This window comes from Homo sapiens, chromosome 10, assembly GCF_000001405.40.
Source record: "Homo sapiens chromosome 10, GRCh38.p14 Primary Assembly".
In the NCBI taxonomy this organism is placed as follows: Eukaryota; Metazoa; Chordata; class Mammalia; order Primates; family Hominidae; genus Homo; species Homo sapiens.
This window is the reverse complement of record NC_000010.11, coordinates 113,576,674-113,603,589: the sequence shown is the minus strand read 5'-3', so window position 1 is coordinate 113,603,589 and position 26,916 is coordinate 113,576,674. Positions and strand designations below refer to the sequence as shown.

Sequence of the window (26,916 nt, the reverse complement as noted above, 5' to 3'; positions counted from 1 at the left end):
CCGCCGACTCTCACTGACTGCTCGCCTTTGCTTTTAAACTTGCGAAAGCAGTCTGACGTGGGGGCAGCTGTTACTCCTGTTTTAGGGATGAGGTCATGTGGGAAGTGCCTAGGGAGGGTGGGCTCCAGAACCCATTCTTAACCATCCTGCTCTCTTGGGGGGAGCTCAGAGCAGGGAGCCATGCCCCTCACAGCACAGGCATAGACCCTGAGGCTACCTCAGGGAGGTCCTTCCCTGAGCAGGGGCACCAAGCAGGCTGGTGGAGAGCACTGGCCCCTCCCACATCATGGTGCAAGATTCTGGAGTCAGACTTCTGAGATTCCAACCATAGCTCCCCCACTACTGGCTGGGTGACCTTGGACAAGTTCATGTCCTCTCCAAGCCGCAGGCATGGTAACGATGGCATGGAACATGACGATAATGACAATGGGACTGCGTTGCAGTGTGGCAGGCACTGCGTCTCACATCCTCTCTCTAGGCCCACAGCATCCCTAGGAAGAAGGTGCTCTCATTTTAGAACATAACCAGCCATCTGTGTCAGGGTTTCTCAACGTCTGCACCTTTGACATTTTTGCAGGCTAATTGTTTGTTTTAGGGGCCTGTCCCGTGCATTTCAGGATATTTAGTAACATCCGTGGTCTTTATCCTCTAGGTGTCCATAGCACCCCACCACCCAGTGTGACAACAAATGCCCCTAAATCTTGCCAAACAAATGTCCCTGAGAGACGAAGTTATCCCCCGTTGAGAATCTGGTTCTCAGTGGAGAACTGGTCTATATGAAACAGCATGATACCTGATCCATGGAAACACTAGAATAAGTAGTAGCTGTTTGAGTACGTTCCTTGCGCCAAGCCCCTCAATTCTGGTTGCCTTCAGGGCAATGACTACTGCTAGATTAATTGTCGATAGCAACAAGTGGGGTATTCTAAACACATAATCAATTATTATTAATTGCAGTAATGATTTTGTTAATTTAATTATCATTGCATTATTAATCACAGTTTGCTGGAACTGCAATATCATGTCATTCACCATCAAGCAGAGTGTAGAGTAGGGTGCCTTCATCTGGGTCCCACATAGGGGATTTAGTTACTAAAGTGCCAGCCCAAGTTCCACTTACAAAGTCCTTCCATTTGCTAAGCAATCCTGAGGGCCCCCAAAACAGCTCATAGCATGACTCTCTGGTGCCCAACCAGGGACCCTCTTGTCAATGGCCTATTTCTTGGGAGAACAGAAACCTTCTGGGACAGAACAGGCACCTGAGGAAGGTAGAGAGGCCACCTGGGAGAGGTATGGGAGGTGGAGCTGGAAGTCAGAGGATGTGTGTGGGAAGCCCAGCTCTGTCACTGTGTGTCCATGAGCAGTCACTTCCCTTTCTAGGCCTCCATCTCTCCATCAGAAAAGCAAAAAGGGGCCGGGTGTGGTGGCTCACACTTGTAATTCCAGCACTTTGGGAGGCCAGGGTAAATGAATTGCTTGAGTTCAGAAGTTCGAGACTAGCCTGGGCAACATGATGAAACCCTGTCTCTACAAAAAATTAGCTGGGTGTGGTGGTGCACACCTGTAGTCCCAGCTACTTGGGAGGCTGAGGTGGGAGGATGGCTTGAGCCCAGGAGGCAGAGGTTGCAGTGAGCCATGATTGTGCTACTGCACTTCAGCCTGGGTGACAGAAAACCAGAGACCCTGTCTCAAAAAAATAAAAAGAAAGTAAAAGAAAAGCAAAGAGGTTCGATTTGATCCACCATCTTAGACTTTGGGATTCTTGGGAAAATGGCTTTTAAATGGTGGGATCCACATAATGTCAAATTTTTTTTACTAACTGAGGAAGAAGGAAAAAAACAAACACTACCTTAAGCTACCATGTATGTCACTGTTATTTCTGAAAAGAAAGGACATTTTCACACTAAAAAAAGAAAGCAGAGAGAACATAATCTAAAATGGAGAATCCCTCCCATGAAATTGTAGTTGGCAATCTTATGCTGACATTTTAAAGGCAGGATATGTATTACATTTTTAAATGCTAAGAAGTGACTGCTTAAATTTTAAATGACCATATTATGCTGTACGCATTCCTTTTAAGCTGCAAATTGGTTAATGAGAGAGTCTGGATTCGAAGAAGCTGTGAACAGGAGTCCCTGAAATGTTCAGCTGGTTCTGAGGCTTCAGCTTGATAGCAGCCATTATCAAAACTCCCATTTCACGTGTTTCTATTATGCAAAAAAGGAAACAAGTGCTAAATAGGCATTACGTCAAGGGAGCAGCCCCAGCCTTCAGCTGCTTCTCCTGACTTTGCCCTCCCCAGGCCAGAGAGAAAGCTCTGGGTAGGGCCAGAGGGGACCCAGAGATGCTGAGGTTCTCGTGGCTATGGTTCATTCCCATGTCTTGCCCAGTTCGGACCAGCCCGGCCCAGTCTTGCTTGACTCAGAAATTCACCTGAGATGCATGCCTGGTCCAGGCAAGCTGCATCATGGGCAGGTGCTGATTCCATCATCTCTTCCGTGCTTCTCAAGTCGGCTGTTGCCTGCTCCCTCCGTGGTCTCAGACCAGGCTGCTGGGAGTCCGGAAAGGCACATGCAGGAAATGTCACGGAGACAGTCCCAGCCTCTCTGCATACAGCTGTGTGACCTAAGGTAGACTCCTTAAGCTCTCGGGACTCAGTTTTTCCCTCAGAAATAACAACAACAGCACTAACTAAAATGTATGGAATGCTTACCCTGGGCTAGGCATTGGCATAAGTATTTTGTGTAAACTATCTCATTTAATATCTAGGTGGGTACCAGTATGACTCCTCTCTTTACAGGATGCGGCGATAAGGCACCAGTAATCTAAGTAGCTTGCCCAAGGCCACAGCTGGTAGGGAAATGACTTGCTCAAGACTGTACAGCTAGTACAAGGCACAGTGAGGCTTCTAGCTCTTGCCTCTTAACTCCTGGTTCAGTCTCTTTGGCTTCCCCAGGTGGCTGGATTCTGAACCCAGGTGCTCTGTGTCTGTCCTCTTAACCACTACCTGGTGTGGCTTACCCACAGTATGGCAGCTGGTGGCTCTGCTGAGAGTCTGAACAATCATTTGAAAACCAAAATTGTTCTGTGAATGGGAATAACTGTTCCTTAGGCTGGGCATGGTGGCTCACACCTGTAATCCCACATTTTGGGAAGCTGAGACAGGAAGATTACTTGAGCCCAGGAGTTAGAGAACAGCTTGGGCAACATAGGGAGACTCCATCTCTACAAAAATAGAAAATAAAAAAAAATGAGGCAGTTGTGGTGGTGCACACCTGTGGTCCCAGCTACTCTGAGAGGCTGAGGTGGGAGGATCACTTGAGCCTGGGAGATCAAGACTGCAGTGAACCATGATCACACCACTGCACTCCAGCCTGGGTAACAAGAGAGACCCCATCTCCAGAGAGAGAGAGAGAGAGAGAGAGAGAGAGAGAATATAACCCCTTCTTTGCAGGATGGTGTGAGGACTGAATGAAATAATGGGTCTAAAACAAACCCCACTCTACACAAGGTCTTGATTGTAATGTTTCTTATTAATATGACAAAGATATACTTTACCCCAGGCACTTGCTGGGCACAATGGTTTACATCATTCCTTCTGCATTAGAACTCAGGGACTGAAAGCTGCAGCTTGAGCATTTGCAACACAGTGCTCCAAAATGGGGGTGCCGGGTAACCCCATGTGTGAATCCGAAGAGGTCTTCTAGACCTTAGTATGTAAGAGGGGAAAAAAAGTGAGGCTGCCATTTGGGGAAGCCAGATTCAGCTGTGCAGCTTTGAAAGGTCTCTCATTATCTTATAATCCTTCTTCGAAACCATCTTTGGGTAGCAGATTCTTCTTGACTCCCCTCCCCTGGCCCCCTCTTTTATCATGAAGTCTGGGGCAAGTGTGTTGTTTTTAGGGTCTGCGTGAATAGTCAAAGCTGGGCTGGGAGCTGAGATATCAATAGACAATCCATTTATAAGAGAGTTGGAGGCATAGTCAGATCTTTGGGGAACCTGCATCTTGCTTTCTGACTTACCTGGGATCGTACTGTTCAGCTCAACAAAAGGCAAGTTGAAAGAGCGCTCCCCACTTCATCTCGCTTATGAAAGGAGCAAGGCCCGGCTGTGAAGAGGCCCTGTAGGATTATTCTCTCCAACTTAGAAATTTATCCAATTTTCTCTGTTCTTTATCAGAGTGCAAGGCAAAAGCTTTGCCGGTGTAGACTGAAAGATCGTGGTATAAAAAGCAATCTTACTGACATGGGGTTTTGAAACCTGCTCCTGAGCCTGAGTGATGTCTCCCTTCACCAGTTGGAAGGCACAGTCGAATTTGCACAGGGGCATTAACCAGCAGACAGTAGATCAGAAACGGACCCTCTTTGAGGCCAGCTGTGAGGAACGCTGTGAATCCTGAAATGAAAGAGAACTAAAAAGGCTGAGAGGCTGATTTCTGGAGTGATATTTTGCGTTACAGCAGAGCTTATATCTAAATTAGAGAAATGCCATCAACTTCGTTTAGATCCAAATTTTAGATTTTCTTAGAGAGGCTTTTTCCACCTTTAAAAAATGCCTAATTTCCATAAAGAGAAGAAGAGAAGCATTCAGGCGACTTTCTCGTTGTAGGTAATGGTGGGCAGATCAAGGAATAGTAATGAGATTCAACATTTGGGAAGGCTACCAGTCAGACCCACTGTCTTAAAGCACCATTTATTATTTTCTCCCAGGACTGATGCCATAGCCTAAACTTCTGAGCTCTTAAAATGAGGAAAGAAAATAAGGCTTAGCCTATTTTTGGAATATAAACAAATCATAATGAGTAACAGTGGGAGGAGGTGGTAAACTGAGGCATGAAGCGGTTAAAATGGTTTACTCACTATTAGCTGGTGGCATCCAAATTTGTTTCCGTTTTTAAAGTCATGCTATAATTGACTTCTTTCCCCCTCCACTACCACTATCACAAGAACAAAAAATCTAACTTAAAGAGTGGCTCTTAGCCCTGACTACTAGCAGGTGTTTTTATGAGAACAGAGGGGTTGTTATGAACTTCGAGTATCACAGAGAGAAACTGAGTCACATTTTGGTTAAAGTGATTTGCTCCCAGTCATAGCAGGTTGAACCCAAGAGTTCAAAGCCTGAACAGTGTGCAGAATGTTTCTATTTAGGCAGGCGGGTAATGGCCTCAATGGCAGAATGAAACAAAATAATCCCAGCTGGTGCTTAGATATGAGCATATATCTCAGCTCTTTCTTTATGCGATCGTCCACATAGGTTGTTACTCTCGCTTTAAATCCTGCCAATTCACTGGTGGGACCTTCTTGTATCTCGTATGTGATGCATTAATTAATTCCTGGCAGAATGTACAAATTCAAACAGTTTGACTTGACGACATGCAGAATGTACTCCCAGTGAAGATGTTGAAATGTTGTGATGAAGCATTATTATAAATGCTATTACAAATCAAGGATCTTCTTGAAATGCTGTACTAGTCTTAAGCACTCTCCTGATAAAGCCCATGATTTTTTTCCCTGCAGTTGCGCTACAAGTCAGACCTGATCGGCATGAAGGGCATAGGATGGCTGGCGCTGAGATCCCCACAGATGGAGAGTGCAAAGAAGGCTGGAGAACTCATCAGCGAGGTACCATCAACCTGTCCCCACCACAAGTGACAAGGGCAAGCTAGCATTTCCTTTTGAAGAGGGAATCTGTTTATGGAGTGGAGAACCCAAAGGACCTCATGGCCACTGGACTCCCAGTATTTTTGGAGGGCCATGTGCAACCAAATCCCAAGACAGAATGAGGTTTCCCTCCAAATGAATTCACTGCTGAGGAACTGAAGGCATGATTTATTAGAAAGTTCTCAACAAATACATTTTGTACAATCGTTATCTAAACTGGCCCATTCTTTGTATGGAGAGGAGGAGGAATTTGCCACCCATCTACTGAGTTGACTCTGTGTCCAGAGGTTTTCTGATTTCTGATAGTGTTAAAATTTGCACAGGAATAGTTACATTAACTGAACTCCTTACCATACTAACAGCCTGGGGATCCCTGCCCTGGAATTCCCTCGAAGGTGACACTGCCTTCTTCAGTTTCTTAATAACAGAATGTATTTGGACAGGATCCAAGCAGGGCCACATTGATGCTGAATACTGCCCTTTACTGAATTCCTTTATTGTGGGGAGCCGTAGTATTTTGTGGCCTCTCTCTTCAAGAGAGTAAATACCTGTAAAATGTTCCATATCACAGAAGCAGCTGAATCTTTTTATACTCTTGATTGTTAGGTACCTACCAAGAAGAAAGGCTTGTTTTCCAACAATATGATTGGCATGTTAGGTACTGAGAAGGTGGAGTGAAGCTGCACCCTGAAAGATGCATGATGTTGGACTGTGTTTCATGAGAATCTTTGTCTTTATCTTATAGACCAAGTACCGTAAAAAACCAGACAGTATCAAGTTCACCACAGTGGTTGACTCCCCAGACCTGGTTCATGCCAAGAACAGCTATATGCACTGCAATGAGGTGGGTCCTTTCTTGTCATTCATCCCGGGCATGCAGTGTAGCACTGCTGCTCAGTGGTCCGGGTCTAAGAACACAGGCTCTGGACAGATGGGGGTGCAAACCTTCTTTCTACTACCTGGATGATCTGGACAGATGGGTGTGTAAATCTTTCTATGACCTGGATGGTCTTGGGCCAGTTGCTGAATCCCTTCTAACCTTGGTCCCTTTATTTGAAGGAGGTTGGGGTTTCGGGGAGGATAATAATAGCAACCATTTCATAAGATTAAATGAATTAAATGAGGATTAAATAAAGGCTCAGAAAGTTTTAGCAAGTACATAGAACACAGTAAGTTCTCAATAAGTGCTCCTTATCATGGTTTGATTCATAATCACAATGACAAGAATACCAAGTATTATTGATGATCCCTTGCCAAAGGCTAGGTCAGATACATGTTGCTTGTTGATAGATGGCAGTGGAATTAAAAGCTTAATATAACCCAGTTAAGAAAAAAATAGGAACAGCTGTATTTAAAGCTTCTTCCTGATTTTACTCTCTGTATAATTTAGCCCTATTTCCTCATTCCTGTCTTTATTTCAAGGAATAGGAAGTTAATGTTTTTCCCCTGAAATTAAGGGATTCAGTTCTACATGCACAGTGACAGAGCTGCTCCATTTCACAGACAGCCCGACTACTGTACCGACTGGTTCATATTTGTAAAGCCTCAGTTAAATTTGGGAATTGATCGGAATATTACAGTTTCACCTCTAAAAGTACATAAGACTCAAACACTTCCTAAAATTGTTTGTAATTCTTAAATCACTGCTTTAAAAATAGAAACCAGATAAATCTTTGAGTTTTAAAATTGTGTCTTCCTGTGATCCAGGTGGGCTATGAAAATACTAATTTCTTGAACATGTATTAAGATGTTTTATAACAAAAAGAACTTATTAACTATGCATATTATAATTATCACCATTAATGTTAAACAACAAAGGCATTGAGGCTGTATCTTGTTACTAGTAAAAAGCATGTCCAATGCTCAATTGCAAAGATTCTCTGAAATATCTACACATCTTCTACTGTGTAAAACACCCAGGTATGGCCAACCATGATGTTGGTTTGTGGCTTATTTGGAGCAGATCTTGAAGAATATTTTTAACAGTCTATTTAAAACCAGCTGCCCCATCTGACCCTGGCTATAAAGGCATCTTCCATCAAATTGTGGGTTCTGGAGGGACACTGTCCATGGGCAGGACTGGGTTCTGTTCTATGCGGTGGGCACTCAGGTGGGAGGGGCAGGAAAGGGAGTCAGTTGCTATTCCCCTGTGGTTTCAGCCCACACAGTTCTCTATTTACCATGAGCCCATCTTATCTACAGCGCATGTATAGATCTGGAGATGCAGAATCCCTGCACAGATACACCCTGATCCCCGACCATCCCGATTTCACCCGAGCTCGCCTCAATGCGCTGCATCTGAGTGACGTAAGTGAACTGGTGGTTCATGGAACGTGTGCCCACTTTTGTAAAATGATCTGTGCCCAATGTGGATTTCGTTTTTTTAAAAAAAAAAGTTCTAGGAAGGAGGACTTGGAACAGAAAGGACACTGAACTGAGAAACTGTTTGTGTGACTTTCAGTCACTTTCCTCAGTGGTCCTCGTTTTTGTTTTTTTTATCTGCAAAATGGTAATGGGCTGAGCTAAACTGAGATTCTTTCCAGCTCTAAAATTCTGACTTGGGTATGGCTCCAAAGATCTCAGTGATGTGCTGGGTAACCATGAGGGGAGTGGTCCCCTGGCCCTAGTGGGTGTAGACACCTGCTCTTTTTGTTTCCTGGACCCCTCTCTGTAGTCATTCAGAGTAGTGTCACTGGAGATAGAGTGGCTCTATCTCACCCCACAGTTTGGAAAGATGCTGCAATGGTAGCCCATCCCGTCCAAATGCAGCTCGCTCCTTTGTGCATGGGACTGTGGCCTCCAACACTTTCGTTTCCCTTGGACATGTGCCCTTTGCGTGCATAACCAAGCTACTGTTTCCTAAACCCAGGCTTGTTGTTAGCAGGGGTTGGAGGCCCCTGGTTGTAATAGAATAGGCGGCCGCTCGGCCAGCAAAGCTGTGATCCTTGGATAACAGGTAGAGAGACGGCAGAATCAAAAGACACTGTCAGATCAGAATAACACAGGCTGAGTGTGTTGGCCTGGGGCAGCGTAGGGCCTCCCAGAGTCCGGCCATTCTTCCCTCCCTGGCCTGGCCATTGTGTCCTGGGGCTCCGTGCAGATCAACAGCTGCTACCGTTCACCCCAGAGGTGGCTGCCTTGCAGGGATTGGCGAGAGGCGCCTTCTAGTTAGCGTGTGTATTAGTTTGTTGCGTTTGTAAAGCCCTGTGGGATCCCATGCAGTGAATGCGATGGTGCTTTGTAAATATGAGTTATTATGACCATTTGATGCTTTTGAGGGATGTGCAGGGGATAATTTTAGAACAGCAGCTCTGGTGGGCTGACCTCCATCTGGGGAAGCAGGACCTCCCCCTCAGCAGAGCCTGCACAAAACATCTATCTCATTAATGCTTCAAGGATGGGGGAAGGCAAGGCCTCCATTTGAGGAACGATTGGAGACCCATCGCTGTAGAAAGTGGGATAAAGCTGCCAGTGCATTTGGGGCCCGGCTTGAGGAGGAGAGCCACCCCAGGCTGGTGATGGAAGCATCTTCCCTCTCACAAGGGATGCCGGTCTGCAGAGTCCTGGAGCTGAAATTAGCCACCAGGGTATGCGGATATGGATAACTCATGAACCTCTTTTGAAAGAGCACTTCTTCGGGGGCGTGTAGAATACGCACAATTGGATCAAGTGCTCTGTGAGGAAGATGTGGAGGGAAAGTGACCTTCCTGGGCAAAGAAAGCCATTGAGATGTGTAAGGCAGCCGAAATAACTAAAAATCAAATGACTCTAATGTGTGAGGATGAGGACAAAACTGTGCCCACTGTGATAAAGAAGAGGAACGCCCAGGGTTCCAAATCAAAGCGCCTACGGAATCTAAAGACTCCCAGTGGCAAGGCAAAAACCTCAACAGAATAAAAAACTCAGGGAGGAAGTGATCACAACCAAGCAAATAGTACACAGGGAGAAGTCGCCCAGAGAAAGGGGCCTGCACACTCGGGAGACCCCCGATCTGGGCCATGCTTTCTAGTTGACCCTGAGTTACAGAGACTCAGAAGCTGGGGTGCATTGGACACCAAAGTGGGGTGACATTGGACTTCGATGTTGCATCAAGTTTGGTGTCAATAACCAGCCCAGATCTGGTGCGGGCATTCTTATTAGGAAGGCATGGTGTGCCCCTTAGAGAGAGTGATCAGGGTTTTGACTCTATTTGCTACTCTAACCTTTGTGGGGCCACCCAAACAGAAAGCAGAATGCTACAGAGGATCATCAGTCTGTCATAATCTGAACATTCCTACATGTCTTTCAGTCCTAACTGCTAAACTCAATGATGACCCAGTAAATCTAATCATTTTGGCTCTGTGATTCATCAGTTAGGTGATTATCCCAGGAACGAACGGTTCTGCATTTCCAGGGCCTAGAACACAGTAGACGTTTGGCTCAGGGTTTACGGCATCGGGTGTTGGAGTCAGAGGCGAGGATGGAGGTGAAGGTGGTGTGATCTGCAGTACAGAGAAATGATGAGATCCGCCATGCTTGGCCCAAGCACTTTGTGGTCCTCTCTAGTTCCAGGCCCAGTTGTGGGATGGGGTGGGGCACTTTGCTTTTCATCTGCCACTCCTCCTTTGCTTAATCCCCCCAATCCCCCGTAGAACAGAGTGCCAGCCTTGACCTCCATTTCCAGGAGACAAAAGGACGGTTCTTAAGGGCCCCCTGACCTGCTGTAGCTCGTGGAACGAGTGAGCAACCGACACGGTCTGGGGCTGTCACTTTGTCATCTGTTGGTGATGCGCCTCTCCTGCTGTCTCCCTTCTCTGTGGCTGAATAAAGAACAGCCCTCCACTGGGATCTCCAGATGCCTCCTTTTATAGAGCCATTCCCTTATCTTGAAAAAAAAATATTAGCTACATGAAGGCACAGAAGATTTTGATGCCTCTATCGGTGATGTGGGTCTACCTGAGGACTAAGAGGATATGATTACAGACTCCCAGAGGGCGTGTGAGAACAACTTGAAAAGGGAAAAAATGAAAGAGGAAGATATGAAACACATGGGTCAGGTACTCGGTCAGGTGCTTGACAATAAATTTAATTCAGGTGAAGGCTCTTCCCTTCGTGCAGGCACCAGGGGTGTATATGAGATGCAGCATGCCTCATAGTGATGGTGCAAGGCATGGCATCAAAGCCAGGCTGAGGCCCCTCCGGATGTCAGTGGAGCTAACAAACACATGAGTGCCAAGGCCCAAGGAACAGCACTTTCAGCATGTAGGAAGAAACTGGATTCTGGAAGCTTGAATTCTGGCACCTAGAAGCTGCAAACCCGAAGCACTGAAAGTGAATGCAAAGACAGGAAGGAGTGGGGTGGAGGCTTCTGATACCAAGTGGGTGTCGCAAATGAGCCATACCCGAAGATCACAAGCCCCACAGGAGCAGGGCCTAATGGGTGGGCGGGTTGGGGGCTTAGAGCTGAAGCCTTTTACGGCCAACCCCACCAATCCCAGTGCTAGGGAGTCGCCAAGGTGGACATGGAGCTATAGGCTGTGCCGTCCTAGGAACCAACAAAGGTTAAGAACCACTCCTGCTGAGTACCAGCAACATGGAAGACAGTGGAGTGACTGCCTGCTTACTCATGCTTTTGTTTTTCCAATCTAGAAAGTCTACAGAAACTCCTGGGAGCAGACCCGGGCTGGCAGTTATGACTTCAGGCTGGATGCCATCCCCTTCCAGACTGCCCGGGCATCTAGGGAGATCGCCAGTGATGTAAGACCCCCATGTTCTCTCCTGCGGTCACTGATGAGTTTTTCTCTGGTTTTCCCAGTTCTGTTGAAAGGCAAACCACCAGGACCTGTCAAGATTATCTCTCTCTCTGCACCAAAACTGAACATGTACTGTATTTTAAATGAAAGAAAAAAAAAAGGGCTTTACTTTCTAGCATCTTAGGCAGAAATTGTGGTCAAGGAGGGCTGTATTTCCATTCTCTTTTTAGAGAGGCACTCTTAAAAGATGATGGATGAGTACCAAGAGGTTCATGAATATGAGCTTGGGTTGTTGATTTGCAATAAAAGGACTTCTTTTAGCTGAAGTTCAGTGTGGTAGAGTAGAAAGAGATAGGGCTTTTGCCCTAGATGGACAAGTTCAAATCCTGGCTCAGTCACTTAGGAAATTTGGCTGTTTGTCTTGGGCAAGTTGCTCAAATTCTCTGAACTTGATTTTCTACATCTATGAAATAGGGATCTTATCTCCCAGATTAATGTAGGAATGAAAACAAAATCGTATATGGTGTCAGGAACATAGCAGGTATTCTGCAAGAGAGGGCACCATTGACTAGACAAGTGTCCACAGTGCTAGACGGAGGCGCACCTGGGAACAGTTTCCTGCTGGTCCACAATTGGATAAGTACAGAAATTAAGAGCATGGGATTTTTGAAATATTTTTTAGCAATTAGACGTTGTAACATCCAAGCATGTGATCACTGGACTCATCTCATTGAAAAGGGTGAAGGCCAGGTTGGGTGTTACCAAATACAAGTGGTACTGCTACATACTAGCCACATGCAATAGGACCATACATGGGTCTTTGATGCATTGGAAATGTAAAAAGCAAATCAAAATGGGACTGGCCCTTCACTGTAGATGGTTTGAGGAGCACTGGACTAGGTCCCTAAAAGCTGGAAAGAATCAAAGGCAGAGTGGCCTATGTGAGAATGGGCACATTTATCTTCCTGTTGGAGTATTAATTACAATAGTGACAATACCAGTAGCCACCACTCAGTGGGCCAGAGCTGATGCCAGACATGAAGCTCAGTCCTTATCTGGTTGAATCCTCGCAACCTCCTATGGGGTGTAGATCATTCTCCAATTTTATCAGATGGGGAAACTGAGGCTCATGGAGAAACTCAGTAACAGGCCCATGACCACACAGATAGGTCTATTTGAATCCAAAGCCTGTGCCTCTAACCCACTCTTGAGCCTCCTGCTGAGAATGCCCTGGGATGGCCCCATATGTGAGGCTGGTCCTGGGGGAGGTAGGCACCCATGATCTGCCTCTGCTCCTCTGACTTGCAGTTCCGGTACAAAGAGGCTTTCCTGCGGGACCGAGGCCTGCAGATCGGGTACCGCAGTGTCGACGATGACCCAAGGATGAAGCATTTCCTCAACGTTGGCAGGCTCCAGAGTGACAATGAGTACAAGAAGGACTTTGCCAAGAGTCGGTCCCAGTTTCACAGCAGCACAGACCAGCCCGGCCTCCTTCAGGCCAAGAGGAGCCAGCAGCTGGCCAGTGATGTGCACTACAGGCAGCCCCTGCCCCAGCCCACCTGCGACCCGGAGCAGCTGGGCCTCAGGCATGCTCAGAAGGCCCACCAGCTGCAGAGTGATGTGAGCCACCTCCACCCACTCCCTTGAGGCCCTTCCCCTGGTGCCTCTTCCTAAGAGATGGCCATAATGCCACGTTCCATTGTTAGCTTCTGGGGGAGCTGGGCTGAGAGAGAATCCAAGACACCTAACACTTTAGTGCCAGAAAGAATAACAATAATAACCACCACTTCTCGAGTGTCTCCTGTGGGCCAGGCTCTGTGTCAAATGCTTTCCAAGCCTCCTGCCATTGGCACTTATGCCAACCCCAGGGCTGCTTCATTTTACAGATGAGGAACTTGAGGCTCAGAGAGGTTCAGTGACTTACTCAAGATCCCATAACAAATAAGTGGCAGACCTGGGATACCAACCCCTTTTGGTTTGCTGTGAGGGCCCAAGCTCTCGATGGCTATGCTAAACTGTTTCCAAGGGATCTTAGCTATTAACCCAGCCTTTGCACTTTCTCTGGGAAGAAACTGAAGCCCAGAGAAGGGAAGTGGCTTCCCTAAGGCCACAGAGTGTGTGGAGCAGGTGTCACTACCCCACCCACTCCCAACTGTAACTTTTGTCACTTGAATGGGAAGATGCAAGAGACAGCAACATGCCGGCTGGACTCACAGCACATTGCGGCCCCTGTGCCAGGGAGATGCTGCTTATGATAAATTTGTTCCCCTTGTTCTGGCTTTACTGATGACAGACAACATAGTCTCATACTGTGGCTGCCTTTTTAATCTTCTTTACTTAATGGTCAAACCGCTCCAAACCCTGCTGACATATTCCTCTTGCTTCCCTCTTACCCTCAAGGTCAAGTATAAATCAGACTTGAACCTGACCAGAGGTGTTGGCTGGACCCCTCCTGGCTCCTACAAAGTGGAAATGGCTCGGCGGGCTGCGGAACTGGCCAACGCAAGGGGCCTGGGTCTCCAGGGAGCTTACGTGAGTAGCAAGCTGCAAAGCCACCCCTGGCTTGCAAGGCCATGGGGAAAGACAAACTCATTGTTTCTTTTCAAAGTTTATTTTTGGCCAAAGGTCAGCTAGCTCTAAAGAAGTGTGAAACGCAGCTCAAACAAGGCGCCTAATTTCATGGGTCTGAGATGACCAGGCAGATGACACGCAGGTTAAACTTCCTGCAGGGCTTTCTCTGAAGTCACAGCCATTAGTTCTGCAGAGGCAAACCTACCGGGGCTACATCAATCCCGGGCCAGGGCAGCCCAGGCTGTGCTGACTGCTTGCTCGTTACATTCGCAGAAAGGGTCAGGGACTCGCTGGATATGACAGTCTGCATTTTGAACCCTACTTTGTTCAGAAGAAAGAAGCCAGGTCTAAATGAGAGATTGGCTTTGCTTTCTCATTCCTGCCTTGAAGGCCCTTTTTCTTGGGGAGGGTAGAAGAGGGGAAAAGGAAAGGGAGGGTGAGCCTGTTAAATGCTCCCTGTGCTTCTTAGCGTGTCCTGTGGGAACCGGGGCCGGGAGTGGGGGTGGGGGAGCTTCATTTTAACTTGGGGTATGTTTGATTTCAGCAGCGGGGGGCAGAAGCAGTGGAGGCTGGAGATCATCAGAGTGGGGAGGTGAACCCAGATGCCACTGAGATTCTGCACGTCAAAAAGAAGAAGGCCCTGCTGTTGTGAGCCATGTCCACCCTGATTCCTGAGAGGCCAGAGAGGAAGTTTGTTCACCAGAGACAGGCTTCAGATGGCTTTGATTTCGGCAAGCTGGAATGGCCCACCAGCCCATCCCAGATCTTCCTTTATTAAAATAATAACTCTGAAAGCAGATGGAGAATGTTGTATTTGTGGTCCTCTCTGATACCTAGACGTGGATGGCTGATTCTGTTGAGTGCCTCGAGTGTCTGGGCTGAGGAATAAAGATGTGATGGTGGTTCCCGCTGATGCTGGGGATTCTGGAGTCTGCATTTGCAGGATGCCTGTGGTGGAGGCAGTCTCTGTGAACACTGATTTTCTAGAAGGTACAATTGGGTAAGGAAAGCAAACATACTATGTTGTGTTGATTCCATCATTCCTTGGGTTACCAAGGGAGGCAGAAGAAGCCTGGTGATATTGTGCAAATGCTGGTCTGGGAAGGCCCAGGCTGGGTGGCAGTTGTCTCTGCTTAGAGTAGGGATAGTCTACTGTGTGGTCCCCTGGAGGCTCTGGAGGTGTCCATTGTTGGCCATGAGGCCTCCCGGTGTCAGGGTGCCAAGGAGAGTGGGCTCTGAGGTCCAGAAGACAGTACCTTAGAAGCCACTTTCACTTTTGATGGTGGCTTTGATCCAATTCAGGAATTTGGTAACTTGGGTGTAGACCCCTGGCCTCTTCCCACACTCCAGGCCCCAGCTCACTATCCCATAGACGTAGTAGGTGCCGTCCTTCTCACAGGTCAGGGGGCCTCCAGAGTCACCCTAAGGGAAACAGAGGCATAAGCTCATCCTCGTGAACCAGAGACATCTGGAGATGCCCCCACCTCTCTCCAGGGGGTGTCAGGGAGGGATGGGGTGGAGTCCCTTGCCAGCCTCCGTGGGCTTCTCTGGAAAGCAGTGACAAGGCTCTCCCCACATCTCACATGATACAAGACTCTAAGGGAGAGAAGATAACAGTGTCCTCCGTCCCTGAGTCCACGCGGGCTTAACAGAGGAGCCGCACAGCTGCACTTCCCAACTCTCAGTGATGCAGATGTTATGACTGTGAGTTCTCGGGGGCCCTCAGCACACATAGGGGAGGAGGTTGGGGACTCCAAGGCAGCGTGGCCTAGGTGCTCAGCATGGTCTATGGGGTTAGATCTCCTGGGTTTTAAGCCAGGCCCTACCACCTGCCAGGCATGTGACCTTAGGCCTCAGTTTCTCACACTGTAAACCATAGATAGCAATAGATCCCCATCCCCCAGGGTTCTTGTGAAGATTGTTTGTAAAGTATATAGAACAGTGCCTGGTTCATATTAAACCCTCACGGAAGGTGGCGAGGATGATGATGGTGAGGAGAAGAAGACATTGAGGGTGATAGCTCTCAAAAACTTAATACTGCTTAAACACTACAACTGACAGGTTTTTAAAAAATGAATTCTCTATTTTAAACTTAGCCACGACCTTGTGATCTTATAGATAGATTTCCATTTTATAGTTTAGGCATCTGAGATTGAAGAATTGCTTTCATCACTGATAAAAGCCATACAGTAAGAGACAGAAACAGGTTTCAATTCACAACTATTTGTTTCCAAAGCCTGCAAGTGAAAGCCTTCAATTATCTAGGGAATTGAATGAGGTTTTTTTTTGTTTGTTTGTTTTTGTTTTTTTGAGACAGGGTCTCGCTTTGTTGCCCAGGCTGGAGTGCAGTGGCACCCTCTTGGCTCACTGCAACCTCCGTTTCCCACGTCCAAGCGATTCTCCTGCCTCAGCCCCAGTAGCTGGGACTACAGGCATGTGCCACCATGTCCACCTAATTTTTGTATTTTTCTTTTAGTAGAGACAGGGTTTCACCATGTTGGCTAGGCTGATCTTGAACTCCTGACCTCAGGTGATCTGCCCGCCTCAGCCTCCCAAAGTGCTGGGATTACAGGCTTGAGCCACCACGCATGCCCAGCCTGAATGAGCTGTTTTCTTAACCATCTTCTGGGAAGGAGTTTAGGGCAAATTGCACCCATCTGCCCCTCCTCTGAGTAGGTGAACATCCTTGGCTCACTGGGAAGAGACAGATAGTCACAGGAGAGCCACAAACCCTGGAGAGAGGAACCTTGATGTCCCATCCCAAAGTGAGTTCAAGGCCAGCAAATCATTGTGGGTTCCTTTGTACGGGGAGGCTCCCTGAAGGAGTTGGGATTTGAATGTTGGCATGCTGTTTTCCAGGACATTTAGAAGGCTTATGGGGACAACAGTCAGAAAATTCTAAATGGAGGTGTTCCTGGGATTCTAGAAAGGACCCTGTGTGATGTGATCCCTACAGATAAAGGGACTATGGGGAATGGGCTTTGACTTGGGGCAGGGCCTGAAGTCACTTTAGCATTGGTTGATGGAGCCACCACCTTCTCTCTCTGCAACAGTGTCTCTGAGTCACAAGCCTCAGCAACTTGGAGTTCTGAAAGGCCCTAGGCTACAGATATACTTAGTTTTCTAGGGCTAAAACACCCCCCCCCCCCCCACACACACACACACGCACACATGAGTCCTAATCATGAGTTAATATTACTGTGAAATCTCTAGCTCTAGGCCTTCTTCTTTCTCCTTCTAGCCACTGGTCTTCTGGACAGTTCCCTGTTTACTGGGATTCTCAGAAAGGCTGCCCTACACTGAGGCCACAAGCCCCTTTGGTGTCCTGCAGACTGTATTGTTCAAATCCCAGCCCTGCCACTGGCCACCCAATTGCTATAGGCCAAGATAACTTCTCTAAGCATCTGTAAAATGGTGATCATGACATCACCTTCACCAGTGTGTTGTGAGAGTTAAATTAGACAGTGCAGGCAATGTGACCTCTGTGGTCATTATGCTGAGTCATCCTGGGTTGATGCGGATGCAGATGCACCAGAGGGCCAGGGGGCAGACACAGCTCACCTGTGTCTTAGCTTTACCACAGGTGGACCTCTGAACCTAGCTCCCAGCCCAGGGCTCTAAGGGTCCTCTGCCTAGTGAAACATCCTGCTAGCCTCTCCTACCACAAGCACCACTTGGAGTCTCTGACCTGGCAGGTGTCTTGCCCAGGTTTCTGAAGATTTCCTGCACAGATCATACTGTCATCAATCATGTGGTCATAGAGTTGGCGGGAGTTGCACAAAGTGTTGGCAATCAGCTTGACTTTGGCATCCAGGAGCTGGCGGGACCCTTTTCCTGTGGGGAAGGTGCAGAGAAAAGAGTCACTACTGTGGGGACCAGGGTGGCACCAACCCCACCAGAAACCAGATTGTCAGGGAGAAGCCCACCAACTCTTAGCTCAGAAGGGAAGGGTTTTTCCAGGATATGGGCAGAAAAGCCTCATCTTTAGCCTTCACCATGCCAGTGCAGACCTGCAATCCTGTGCTGGTCATGATACATGGACCAGATAGTATATTCCCTCCTCTCTTTCCCCAGGTAGGCCATGAGGTTCAGGAGGAAATAGATGCTCTCTTAACCATTTTAAAATTCCCAAGGCCTAACAAAAGGGCTGGCACAATTCTTAGTGAATGAATGGATGGATGGATGGATGAAGTGCCCTGCGCAGTAGGCTACCTGCTTCCTAGAGCAGGCATTTTCCCCTGTAAAGATAATGACATCAATCAAAACATGTTTTGAACATAAAGTCTTAGAGAACATAAAGGCTTTGAACATAAAGTCTTAGAAGCCTGTTTATGAAAAGCAAAATAATTCTAACCTGAGGCTCCAAAAGATTCCCAACTGAGACATCACCATGCTGACCAGACCATATTGAGCAGAATAGAGGTTGACAAGTTCAGATGGACTACAATGAAAATGGCTGTAAAATGAGTTTACTGGCTGACCCTAAATCCAATTAGCCAGACATCTTTCTCAAAAGACTCAAAGTTGTATATTACATTTCACTTTGTTCAGATATGTGGAATTTCTGCAGACTTATTTATCGTGATTCTCGCTATTCATTATTAAGGACAGGATTTGCGAAGGAAGAGAAATATATTTTGAGTATTTGGAAAAGACATGAAATACCTTTCTGAATTTTTTTTGTAGTAGTGGGTATAATGTTGCCAGTACTATGAGGAAAGTAATCCTTTGGTTACTTTTAAAAATTAGACCAAATCCTAAAGACAAATCAACAGCTGGATTTAACACAATTTTATAGAATGTCTACTGTGTGGAGAACCCCGAGCAAAGTACTGTGAGACAGACAGAGATGAATGGGACCTGACCCCCATCTTCTAAGGGCTGACTTAATGAATGTCTCTGTAGAATTCTATCATCCCCTGTGATCATGCTTGCAAACCCGGGAAGTAAGTATGATTATTGAGAAACTAAAACTCAGTTGTTCAAGTGACAAAGTCAAGAATTGAATACCAGTCTGTCTGACTCAAAAATCCATGATCTTTCCTCTTTCCAATCTAACTAGGAAGGGAGCAAGAGCTCCATAAATGCAGGGTCAATGCTTGGTAAAATTCAAGTATTTAGGGGTAGGGCCAGGGACAGATATGGAGATCAGAGAAACTCAGGGAAGGCTCCCTGCAGGTGGAGGAATTTAACCAGAGCTTGATCAATGAGGTGGATGCTTTCTTTGGTTGATGCATTTTGAATATGACACTCATTTCAACTTCAAAAGGGCAGTTGAGTTTGGCCTTTCTTCTCTGGTTGATGTAGTTCACCTAAGTCATGGGAGAGTGCATGGCCGACTCACCTGTTTCTGTAACACCCCAGCCAGAGATGTGGCACTCACTCCCAGAGGGAAAGGACCCATCAGGCAAGCACACAGTCTTCACGTATTTGGATTCTAGAGCACAGTGACCATCCACTGGCTTTAACTTGAGCAATGCTAGGTGGAGAGAGAGGTAGAAAATGGATGCGATGTCACCTCTTTGTCAGAGAAGCACCAGCTCCAACTTGCTCATGAAGGTGGCCACAGCAAAGCCCCACCTGCCCCCACCATGCCTGAAAATCTTCTTCCGTGGTCATTTCATATTTTGAACTTCCACCCAGGAAGGAGTAACACTTCAGGGCGAGAGTCATGTCAAGAAATGACAATTGACTTTGAAATCATTTCTAATCCATTTTTTAAGAAACAGGCCATTAGAGGGGAAAAAAGCTATTGAGGAAGGAGAGAGAGGTGGGGGGGTGTCTCATGAAAAGGGAAACGGGATACAGAACTGAGCAGCTGGTAGCTAGGAACGTCATTGCATTTGCACTGGAGCACCTGCCAGGGGCTAGGGGCCAGGCATGCCTGCAAGCACATTGTGTCTCCTGACACATAGGAAGCTGAGAGTTGTGCATCAGTGTTTCCATTTCATAGAAGAGAAAAGAGGGCTCAGGAGGTGAGCTGTCTCCTGGTGATAAAGTTGGGAAGCTGGGATTCCAGGCCAAGCCTATTCCATAGCACAATGTTCCTAGCATTGCTTCCCCTCAGTTTAAGAGCATATGCCCATTTATCTACATTTGCACATACCCTCAAAAACTAAAAATCCCTGGAATACATTCCCTACCGCACAGGGTCCACAGGGACCAAAAACAATCAAGAGCACCTTCTAGAACCAAACTTCAGCTTTCTGGTCATAGAGAAATCCACCCAGGACAAGACCCTCAGGAAAGCCATGAAAGAGGAACTTGCCAATATCATTGTGGGGAATCTCATCTCTTTCATTGTAGTGGCTGTACTTGAATATCTTCTCCACCCTAAAGCTCTGCTCATGAAATTCTTCTTTCTTCAGGTCCTGGTCCCCTAGCACCACCTTTAGATGTCTGGTTTTTATGCTGCAAGGGAAAATGAGATGGTCAGGAAGGCACTGTTTCTGCTCAGCTGTGTGGCCTTTGGCAAATCTGACCTTCTGCAGACTCAGCCTCCTCATTTGTAACCCTCGTCTCACTCACAGAACTCTGCTGTGGTAGGGTCCAAATAAGATTATGTAAGGGAAGTGCTTTATTAACAGAAGCAAGCTCCAAATATAAGCTATAACTTTTACCCACTTCTCATGGGAGACCTCCCATTCTCCCTAGGCCTTCCAAAGAAACAGCCATTGCCATCTTGAACCAATCTTCTAAAATCCATTGGCAGGTGCTAATGTTTGCCTGCTTGACCTCTCTTGAGGAGCACCTCCTAGAATCCCAGAGAAATCATTTACTATAAGGTGAACTGGAAGACCTTCATGGCCACCTCCAAAACCCAGACTTTGTTGGACCAGCCTTGACCATGAGCACAGGGAGCTCAGAAGAGGGGGTGACTCTTCAGCTCCCCAGAAGTTACTTGCTTCTCTAAGGCACACAGGAGGCATGGATGAAGACACCTGACTCAGAAGGGTCATTGGTGATGGTATCAGACAAAGGAGCATGCTTTCCTCTATTCAGGGCAGGACAAAAGAAGTCAAAGAAGCAGATAGAATGGGGTTTCCATCTTACTTGTCCACTTAACTTTCCATACAACTTCAGGCAAGGTAAAGGAAGAATCCCGGGATTCAAGATCCTCACTTACAAAAAGGGAATAACAATAAACTCTTTTCCTCCACAAATATTTACTCAGCACTTGCTATGTACAAAGGCCTGCTCAAGACACTGGAGATCCTACAGTTAATAAAACAGATAAAAATCCCTGACCTTCCTCAGCTTGTCTTCCAGCAGACAGCTTTAAGGATTAAATGTCATATAATAAATGCAGTGCCCATGGTAAACATTCCAGACATGGTAGCTATTTTCCCTCTGGCTTTCAGGAGCCCTTCTTTTGCCCTTGAACAGATCAGACCCCCTAATCCTGACAGAGCTACAAAGATGCTGCTCAGAGGGGAAGGGGAGAGCACCCCCAGCCACTCAAGCCACCCTGGTCCCTGCTCCCAGCGGCACCTACTCGGTGCAGTGGGCAGCAGTGAGCACCCAGCAGGGGTGGATCAGCGCCCCACCACAGAAGTGGCCCTGGGGCATGGAGATGGTCAGAGGCAGCGAGGACTGGAGGGACGCCTGCCATGGGTGCTTGCCCGCCGTGCTCTTAAAGCCTCCATAGATTCTCTTGATCTTCCTCTCTGCTATCTCAGTCTTTCCACAGGAGTCAAACCCCGGAAGCTTGGTTGATGGCTCAGTGGGGCTTTCCTCTGGGTAGGCAACGTCTGTGGGACACAAGAAAGATAAATTGTGCTATTCAGCCTCCCTCCAGTTCCTCAGCAGGGCTCAGGCAGAGGTATGACTCTGAGCCCAACAGCTGAGCAGGGGTCCAGAGCTGAGAGACTGCACTGGTGCAGACAGGGTGGGCATGCAGTAGGTGCACAGTTGATATTTGTTGAATACATTGCGTAACATAAAGCAAGTCTATAGAATTAACAATGTAGTTTTTTCTTGTCCATTTCAAAGTATGTGACTCCTAAGATTGACATGTACACACACACATTATGTTTATGTAAATATACAAATCCCTCACTGGGTATGTACTTCACCTTGACAAAGCCCCCACAATTATAAATGTGCATCATCAATGCACCTTTCATTATTAGTGCACACTTACAATTGTGGAGGCTTTTTCAGGGTAGAGGGGAGGATATTCAGATGAACTAGAATAGGTGAGATAAGACATTTGCACAGATGACTGTGACACAAAAGGAGAGAGCAGTAAATGTTGTATAGGTGGTGCCTTGTCCTGTTCCTTAGGGTTTGTAAGGAGGCAGAGATAACATTTTACTTGAGAAATCAAGGAGGACTTCCTGGAGGAGGGGATATTTGAGTTGGTTCTCAAAGAATAGTTGTATATGGACAAGAACAGATATGGGATGGTATGTTATAGACAGAAGTAACCATAAGATCAAAGGCACATATGTGAAACTGCTCAGGGAAGGAATCCCACTGGTCAGGGTGGAAGGGCACATCATTCTAGATGTGGGCACAGAGCGGGGCCAGGACAGATGGCCAGGAAGACTGTGAGGCTGGAATTTGAATGCTTTGCATCCTAAGAGGCTATGGGAGCCCAGCCAGTTTGATCACCATTGCACACCCAGTGCCCAGCATAGTGGCTGGCAAACAGCAAGAGATGGGTAAATATCTGTTGAGGGCACTGATTTGGAGTCAGAAACCATGAGTTTAGAGTTGGACTACCTGACCTAAACCCACAAAGGTATCCAGACCTGCTTGGCATCCTGGTGGGTGCAGACAGTTGGGCAGTTGGGCTGGCACTGGGATGGGAATTGGTAAAGCAGGTGTGGAGGAAGAACAGGGTGAGGGAGGGACCAGGTGCCAGGGACATCTCCCTACAAATCTCCATCCCCCCCACCCCCTGGGCTTCTGAACAGCCATGGCCTTTACCCTGGGCTGAGCAGGCTGAGACATCACAGTATTCCCATTTCACCTTGTCATTGGTAACTTTAATAAAGCACCAGGGCTTTTCGTCCGCATCTGGGTTTCTAAAATACAAAACAAAACAACTCAGAGTCAAGGCTTGATGAACACACTGGATCTTATTAAAGAACCTTTGGATAAGAAGGTGCTAGACTCTTGTGCTCCCCCTGGGACCACATTTCTTTGAATCCTCCATCAGGTTACAAAACCTTAGAACAGAAGGGTGTTTATAGTATTTTTTCTGGCAAAATCTTTTCTTCTAGAGGAAAATCTCAAGGACAAGAAAGCGGTCCCAAGTCTCATGCCAGATCCACAGGACATACCAAATTATTTGTAGGAAAAGAAATGAGATCCCTGATGAAGACCTTTCTATATCAGGAGAGTAAAATCATCACATAAACATGGTGAGAGTTGGGTTCCTCTGCCTGAGGCTTTGAATTCTATGCATGGGAATCCTCTGAGAAAGGCTGCCAAGAGGCCCCCCCTCCCCCCGCCCCCGAAGACAGCTCCACAAAGGGAACAGCTCAAGGTGAGTGCAAGTGGAAAGTACTAGTGTTTTGTGAAAAAAAAAAATCTTCATGGCCGGGTGCAGTGGCTCATGCCTGTAATCCCAGCACTTTGGGAGGCCAAGGCAGGTGGATCATGAGGTCAAGAGTTCGAGACCAGGCTGGCCAAGATGGTGAAACCCATCTCTACTAAAAATACAAAAATTAGCCGGGTGTGGTGGTGCGCACCTGTAATCCCAGCTACTTGGAAGGCTGAGGCAGGAGAATTGCTTGAACCTGAGAGGCAGAGGTTGCAGTGAGCTGAGATGGTGCCACTGCACTCTAGCCTGGGTGACAGAGTGAGACTCCATCTCAAAAAAACAAAAACAAAAACAAACAAACAAAAAAAAAAAACAAGAAAAAATCCTCATTTATGAAGCCAGTTCAAAGCCATACAAAGACCCCCTCACCTGCAACTCATCTGACTCATTGGCCTTGGCCAGACAAAGGGTAGTGGCAGGAAGCCAACAGAGTGGCCTGGAGGCAGCAGAAAAGGAAGAAGGAAACTAGATCACCACCAGGGAGGGTGGTGGCATTAGCCTCACATGGGAAAGCCTGAACATCCTTGGGCCAGAGACCATCACCTTCAACAGACCTTCCACTTGCTCTTCTCCATCTCTGCCTAGAAGTTACGTGGGCTCATGTGATTATTTCTGACCAACAAAGTATGTGTGGGAAGAGGATGTGTCCCTTCTAGGTTGAGGTAGAGAAAAACTCATGCTTCATTTCCCAGTCTCTTCTTGCTGATCCTGAATATTTGAGTAAGCCTGTGGAGCTGAATCCCCTGCCATCATCACCACCAACCCACATGACACATGGAACATTAGTAAGAAATAGACATTTTTTCTTTTTTTTTTTTCTTTTTTTGAGACAGGGTCTCACTCTGTCACCCAGGCTGGAGTGCAGTGGCTCACTACAGCCTCGACCTCCTGGGTTCAGATGATCCTCCCATCTCAGCCTCCTGATTAGCTGGGGCTACAGGTGCTGACCACCACATTCAGCTATTTTTTTTTTTTTTTTGGTAGAGACGGGGTTTTGCCATTTTGCTCAGGCTGGCCTCAAACTCCTGGGCTCAAGCAATCTGCCTGCATCAGCCTCTGAAAGTGCTAGGATTACAGGCATGAACCACAGCAACCAGCCCAGAAATAGACTTTGATGTATTTGAGCCACTGACATTTGGCAGTTGTTTACTACAGCAGCATAACATTGCCTTGCTGAGTAAGAAAATCTTCCTAGAAAGGAGGCTGATGAATTTCAATGATCTGTTTTAAAATAAGTGACCAAAATCAACTGAGCATAAATAAGGTAAATGTTACCTGCAGAAATTGTGTTCCCCAATCCCATGGGTTTCAGCATCCTCCATAAACATGTTGTAATTCTCCTGCAAGAGGAGGTGGGAGTTCCAGTAAAGGCACGCATGCTGGTTGACTGTCCTATTCATTTTCCCTCGGTAAGAGTAGCCATCGCCAACATAGCAGTCATCAGAACCTCCGAGAGAGCAGGTAGCAATGTGAGAACCAACAGCCATTGGCATGCCACTCCCAAAAAGGGCTTGGTGGGTATGTGACATGGTGAGAGAACTGGACCTGCATATTTATCGCCCTGAGATTTCACCACGAATTTCAGAAAAAAAAGTGTTGAATGTCCCACATTTAATCCTGCTTAAAACATGAAATATAGTGGTTGTAGGGTGTGGGAGCTTAGTTCTTTAATTCTGGCTCACACAAGAACTGATGGAAGGTGGGCTAGGGCCTAGGGATGCCCAAGTGGTTTGACTTGCCTGCACTACACCCCAGTTTATTACTTTCTTTACAGGAAGCCAGACACGCCCTATCCCTTTAGGTGAGAAGGCTGAGGCAATAGTCGAGTTTGGGAAACTTGATTTGAACCACATTCTGGCAACAAAACCCAGAGAGGAAAGGGTTCCAGAGGCCTCACTTGTGGCCCTGATGGTGGCAGAGACCCATACCTATTTCACAGAATTTCCCCTTGAACTGGTCGGGACAGGCACAGGTGAACTTGGATCTCCGCTTATGCCGGGAGCAGGTAGCCCCATTCTGGCAGGGGTTTGGCCTGCATACAGGAACCACTGTGAACACAGGAATGGGGCCAGGAAGGCTCTTCAGAAGGAGTTGCAGCCCATGTCTGAGATGACAAGGAGACATTGGTGGCATTCTACTGGTGTCCATCCTTTCGCGAAAGATGGGTCACCAGATGGGAAAGACAGATCCACTGACACTCTAGTAAGTGTACACAGAAGCCTTAAGAACATAAGCAAATGTGGATGAAGCAATCTGGCTGGAGGCCATGCCTAAGTGCATAAGTAGATGGGTCAGTCAGTAAGGAAACAAAGAAGCATGGACGGAGCAGGAGTGGTGGGCCCTGTCTGAGCTAGGTAGAGCTCTGCCTGCTGATACCCATGTGGCCATGAGCAAATGAGTTAATCTGTCTACATTTCAGGTTCTTCATCTGTAAAGCTCCTCCTTGAGGTGTCTTTGGAGAAAGCAAAAGAGAACGTAAATTTCCTGAGACAATGCCTGCCTCACAGCAGGGACTCGATATGTATTCATTCCCCTACTTGGTCCCTCTCAGGAATAGATCAGGGTCTACTTCCTGGAAGAAGTGAGTTTCAAGATGATTCTTTTTGGGTGGGAAGGGACACAGACCAGTCAATTCCCACTGGGTGGAGTCAATCCAGGGATAATGAATCTTTAGAAAGCCTAGGGAAAAGGACCATCTTGGGTGCCTGCCACAAAAACATCAGATGCATCTGGCCTTCCATGCAGAAGGGTGCAGGTACAAGATAGGGCACAGAAAGTCTAGCGTCGAAGGGGCCTCCACCACTTACCTTGGGAGCAGCTGGGACCTGTGTAAGGGTGTTTACAGACACAGCGGTAGTAGGGAGGACTCTGGGTAATGAGACATTGGCCCCGGCCACATGGGTTGTCCTTGCACGTATTTTGCACTGTAGGAGATCCATAACATAAGACATTATTTGGGGCACATTTTCCTTAGAGGGATACATGTATAAAACAATGTTTGAGGGTGGGGTGACTGACAGTGTCTGTAGCCTTGTCCGTGGTCCTGAAACACTGGGCTATGCCAGGACAAGGCTTCTGTCTAATTTTTGGGTCATGGAGGATTGTCTCCCACATTGCTTCCCATGCCCATAGTCTTAATTTTTATATCTTAATAAAAAAACTTTGATAATTGTTACACCTTCACCAAACAGAGCTGCAATTTTAGTCTCTCCATTTTCTAGCTAACTTCAGAATGCATTTACAGTTTTGTCACTTTTCTGAGAAGTTGAGGAGTGAGCCCAGACACTGTGTTTATACTCGATATTCTCAACCATCCTGAAAAATTTACTGAAGAAATTGCAGGATTGAAAATGAAAAGAATAAGTGAAGAGGGCACCGAGGGAAGAAGTCAACCACAAAG

General features: G+C 46.9%; 2 protein-coding genes across 13 annotated transcripts in view, besides 1 other annotated feature; one reads left to right on the top strand and one right to left on the bottom strand.

The window, feature by feature from the left end:
• NRAP (nebulin related anchoring protein) overlaps positions 1 to 14,876 on the top strand; it is a 75,328-nt gene extending 60,452 nt beyond the window's left edge. For 5 of the 11 annotated variants that reach the window (NM_006175.5, NM_001322945.2, XM_047425253.1 and 2 more), the window contains 7 exons: positions 5,517 to 5,621; positions 6,406 to 6,504; positions 7,863 to 7,967; positions 11,289 to 11,396; positions 12,701 to 13,012; positions 13,793 to 13,924; positions 14,511 to 14,876. In NM_006175.5, coding sequence (NP_006166.3) covers positions 5,517 to 5,621; positions 6,406 to 6,504; positions 7,863 to 7,967; positions 11,289 to 11,396; positions 12,701 to 13,012; positions 13,793 to 13,924; positions 14,511 to 14,615 — 966 coding nt within the window. In that variant the 3' untranslated portion in view covers positions 14,616 to 14,876. Of the gene's footprint in view, positions 1 to 5,516; positions 5,622 to 6,405; positions 6,505 to 7,862; positions 7,968 to 11,288; positions 11,397 to 12,700; positions 13,013 to 13,792; positions 13,925 to 14,507 lie in introns of all 11 variants that reach the window. The other 6 variants (XM_005269864.3, XM_005269865.3, XM_006717870.3 and 3 more) reach the window with 2 other exon arrangements.
• HABP2 (hyaluronan binding protein 2) overlaps positions 13,988 to 26,916 on the bottom strand; it is a 38,772-nt gene continuing 25,843 nt past the window's right edge. For both annotated transcript variants that reach the window (NM_001177660.3, NM_004132.5), the window contains exons 5-13: positions 26,324 to 26,440; positions 25,445 to 25,564; positions 24,792 to 24,963; positions 22,898 to 22,995; positions 21,459 to 21,714; positions 20,232 to 20,374; positions 19,308 to 19,442; positions 17,652 to 17,797; positions 13,988 to 15,385 (exon numbers count right to left, since the gene is read on the bottom strand). In NM_001177660.3, coding sequence (NP_001171131.1) covers positions 15,221 to 15,385; positions 17,652 to 17,797; positions 19,308 to 19,442; positions 20,232 to 20,374; positions 21,459 to 21,714; positions 22,898 to 22,995; positions 24,792 to 24,963; positions 25,445 to 25,564; positions 26,324 to 26,440 — 1,352 coding nt within the window. In that variant the 3' untranslated portion in view covers positions 13,988 to 15,220. The remainder of the gene's footprint in view (positions 15,386 to 17,651; positions 17,798 to 19,307; positions 19,443 to 20,231; positions 20,375 to 21,458; positions 21,715 to 22,897; positions 22,996 to 24,791; positions 24,964 to 25,444; positions 25,565 to 26,323; positions 26,441 to 26,916) is intronic.
• Positions 26,433 to 26,633: a silencer, noted in NCBI's record as "peak1095 fragment used in MPRA reporter construct". NCBI's record gives its function as "represses an SCP1 promoter by STARR-seq MPRAs in K562 erythroleukemia cells {active_cell/tissue: K562}" and the evidence as "EXISTENCE:reporter gene assay evidence [ECO:0000049][PMID:32103011]".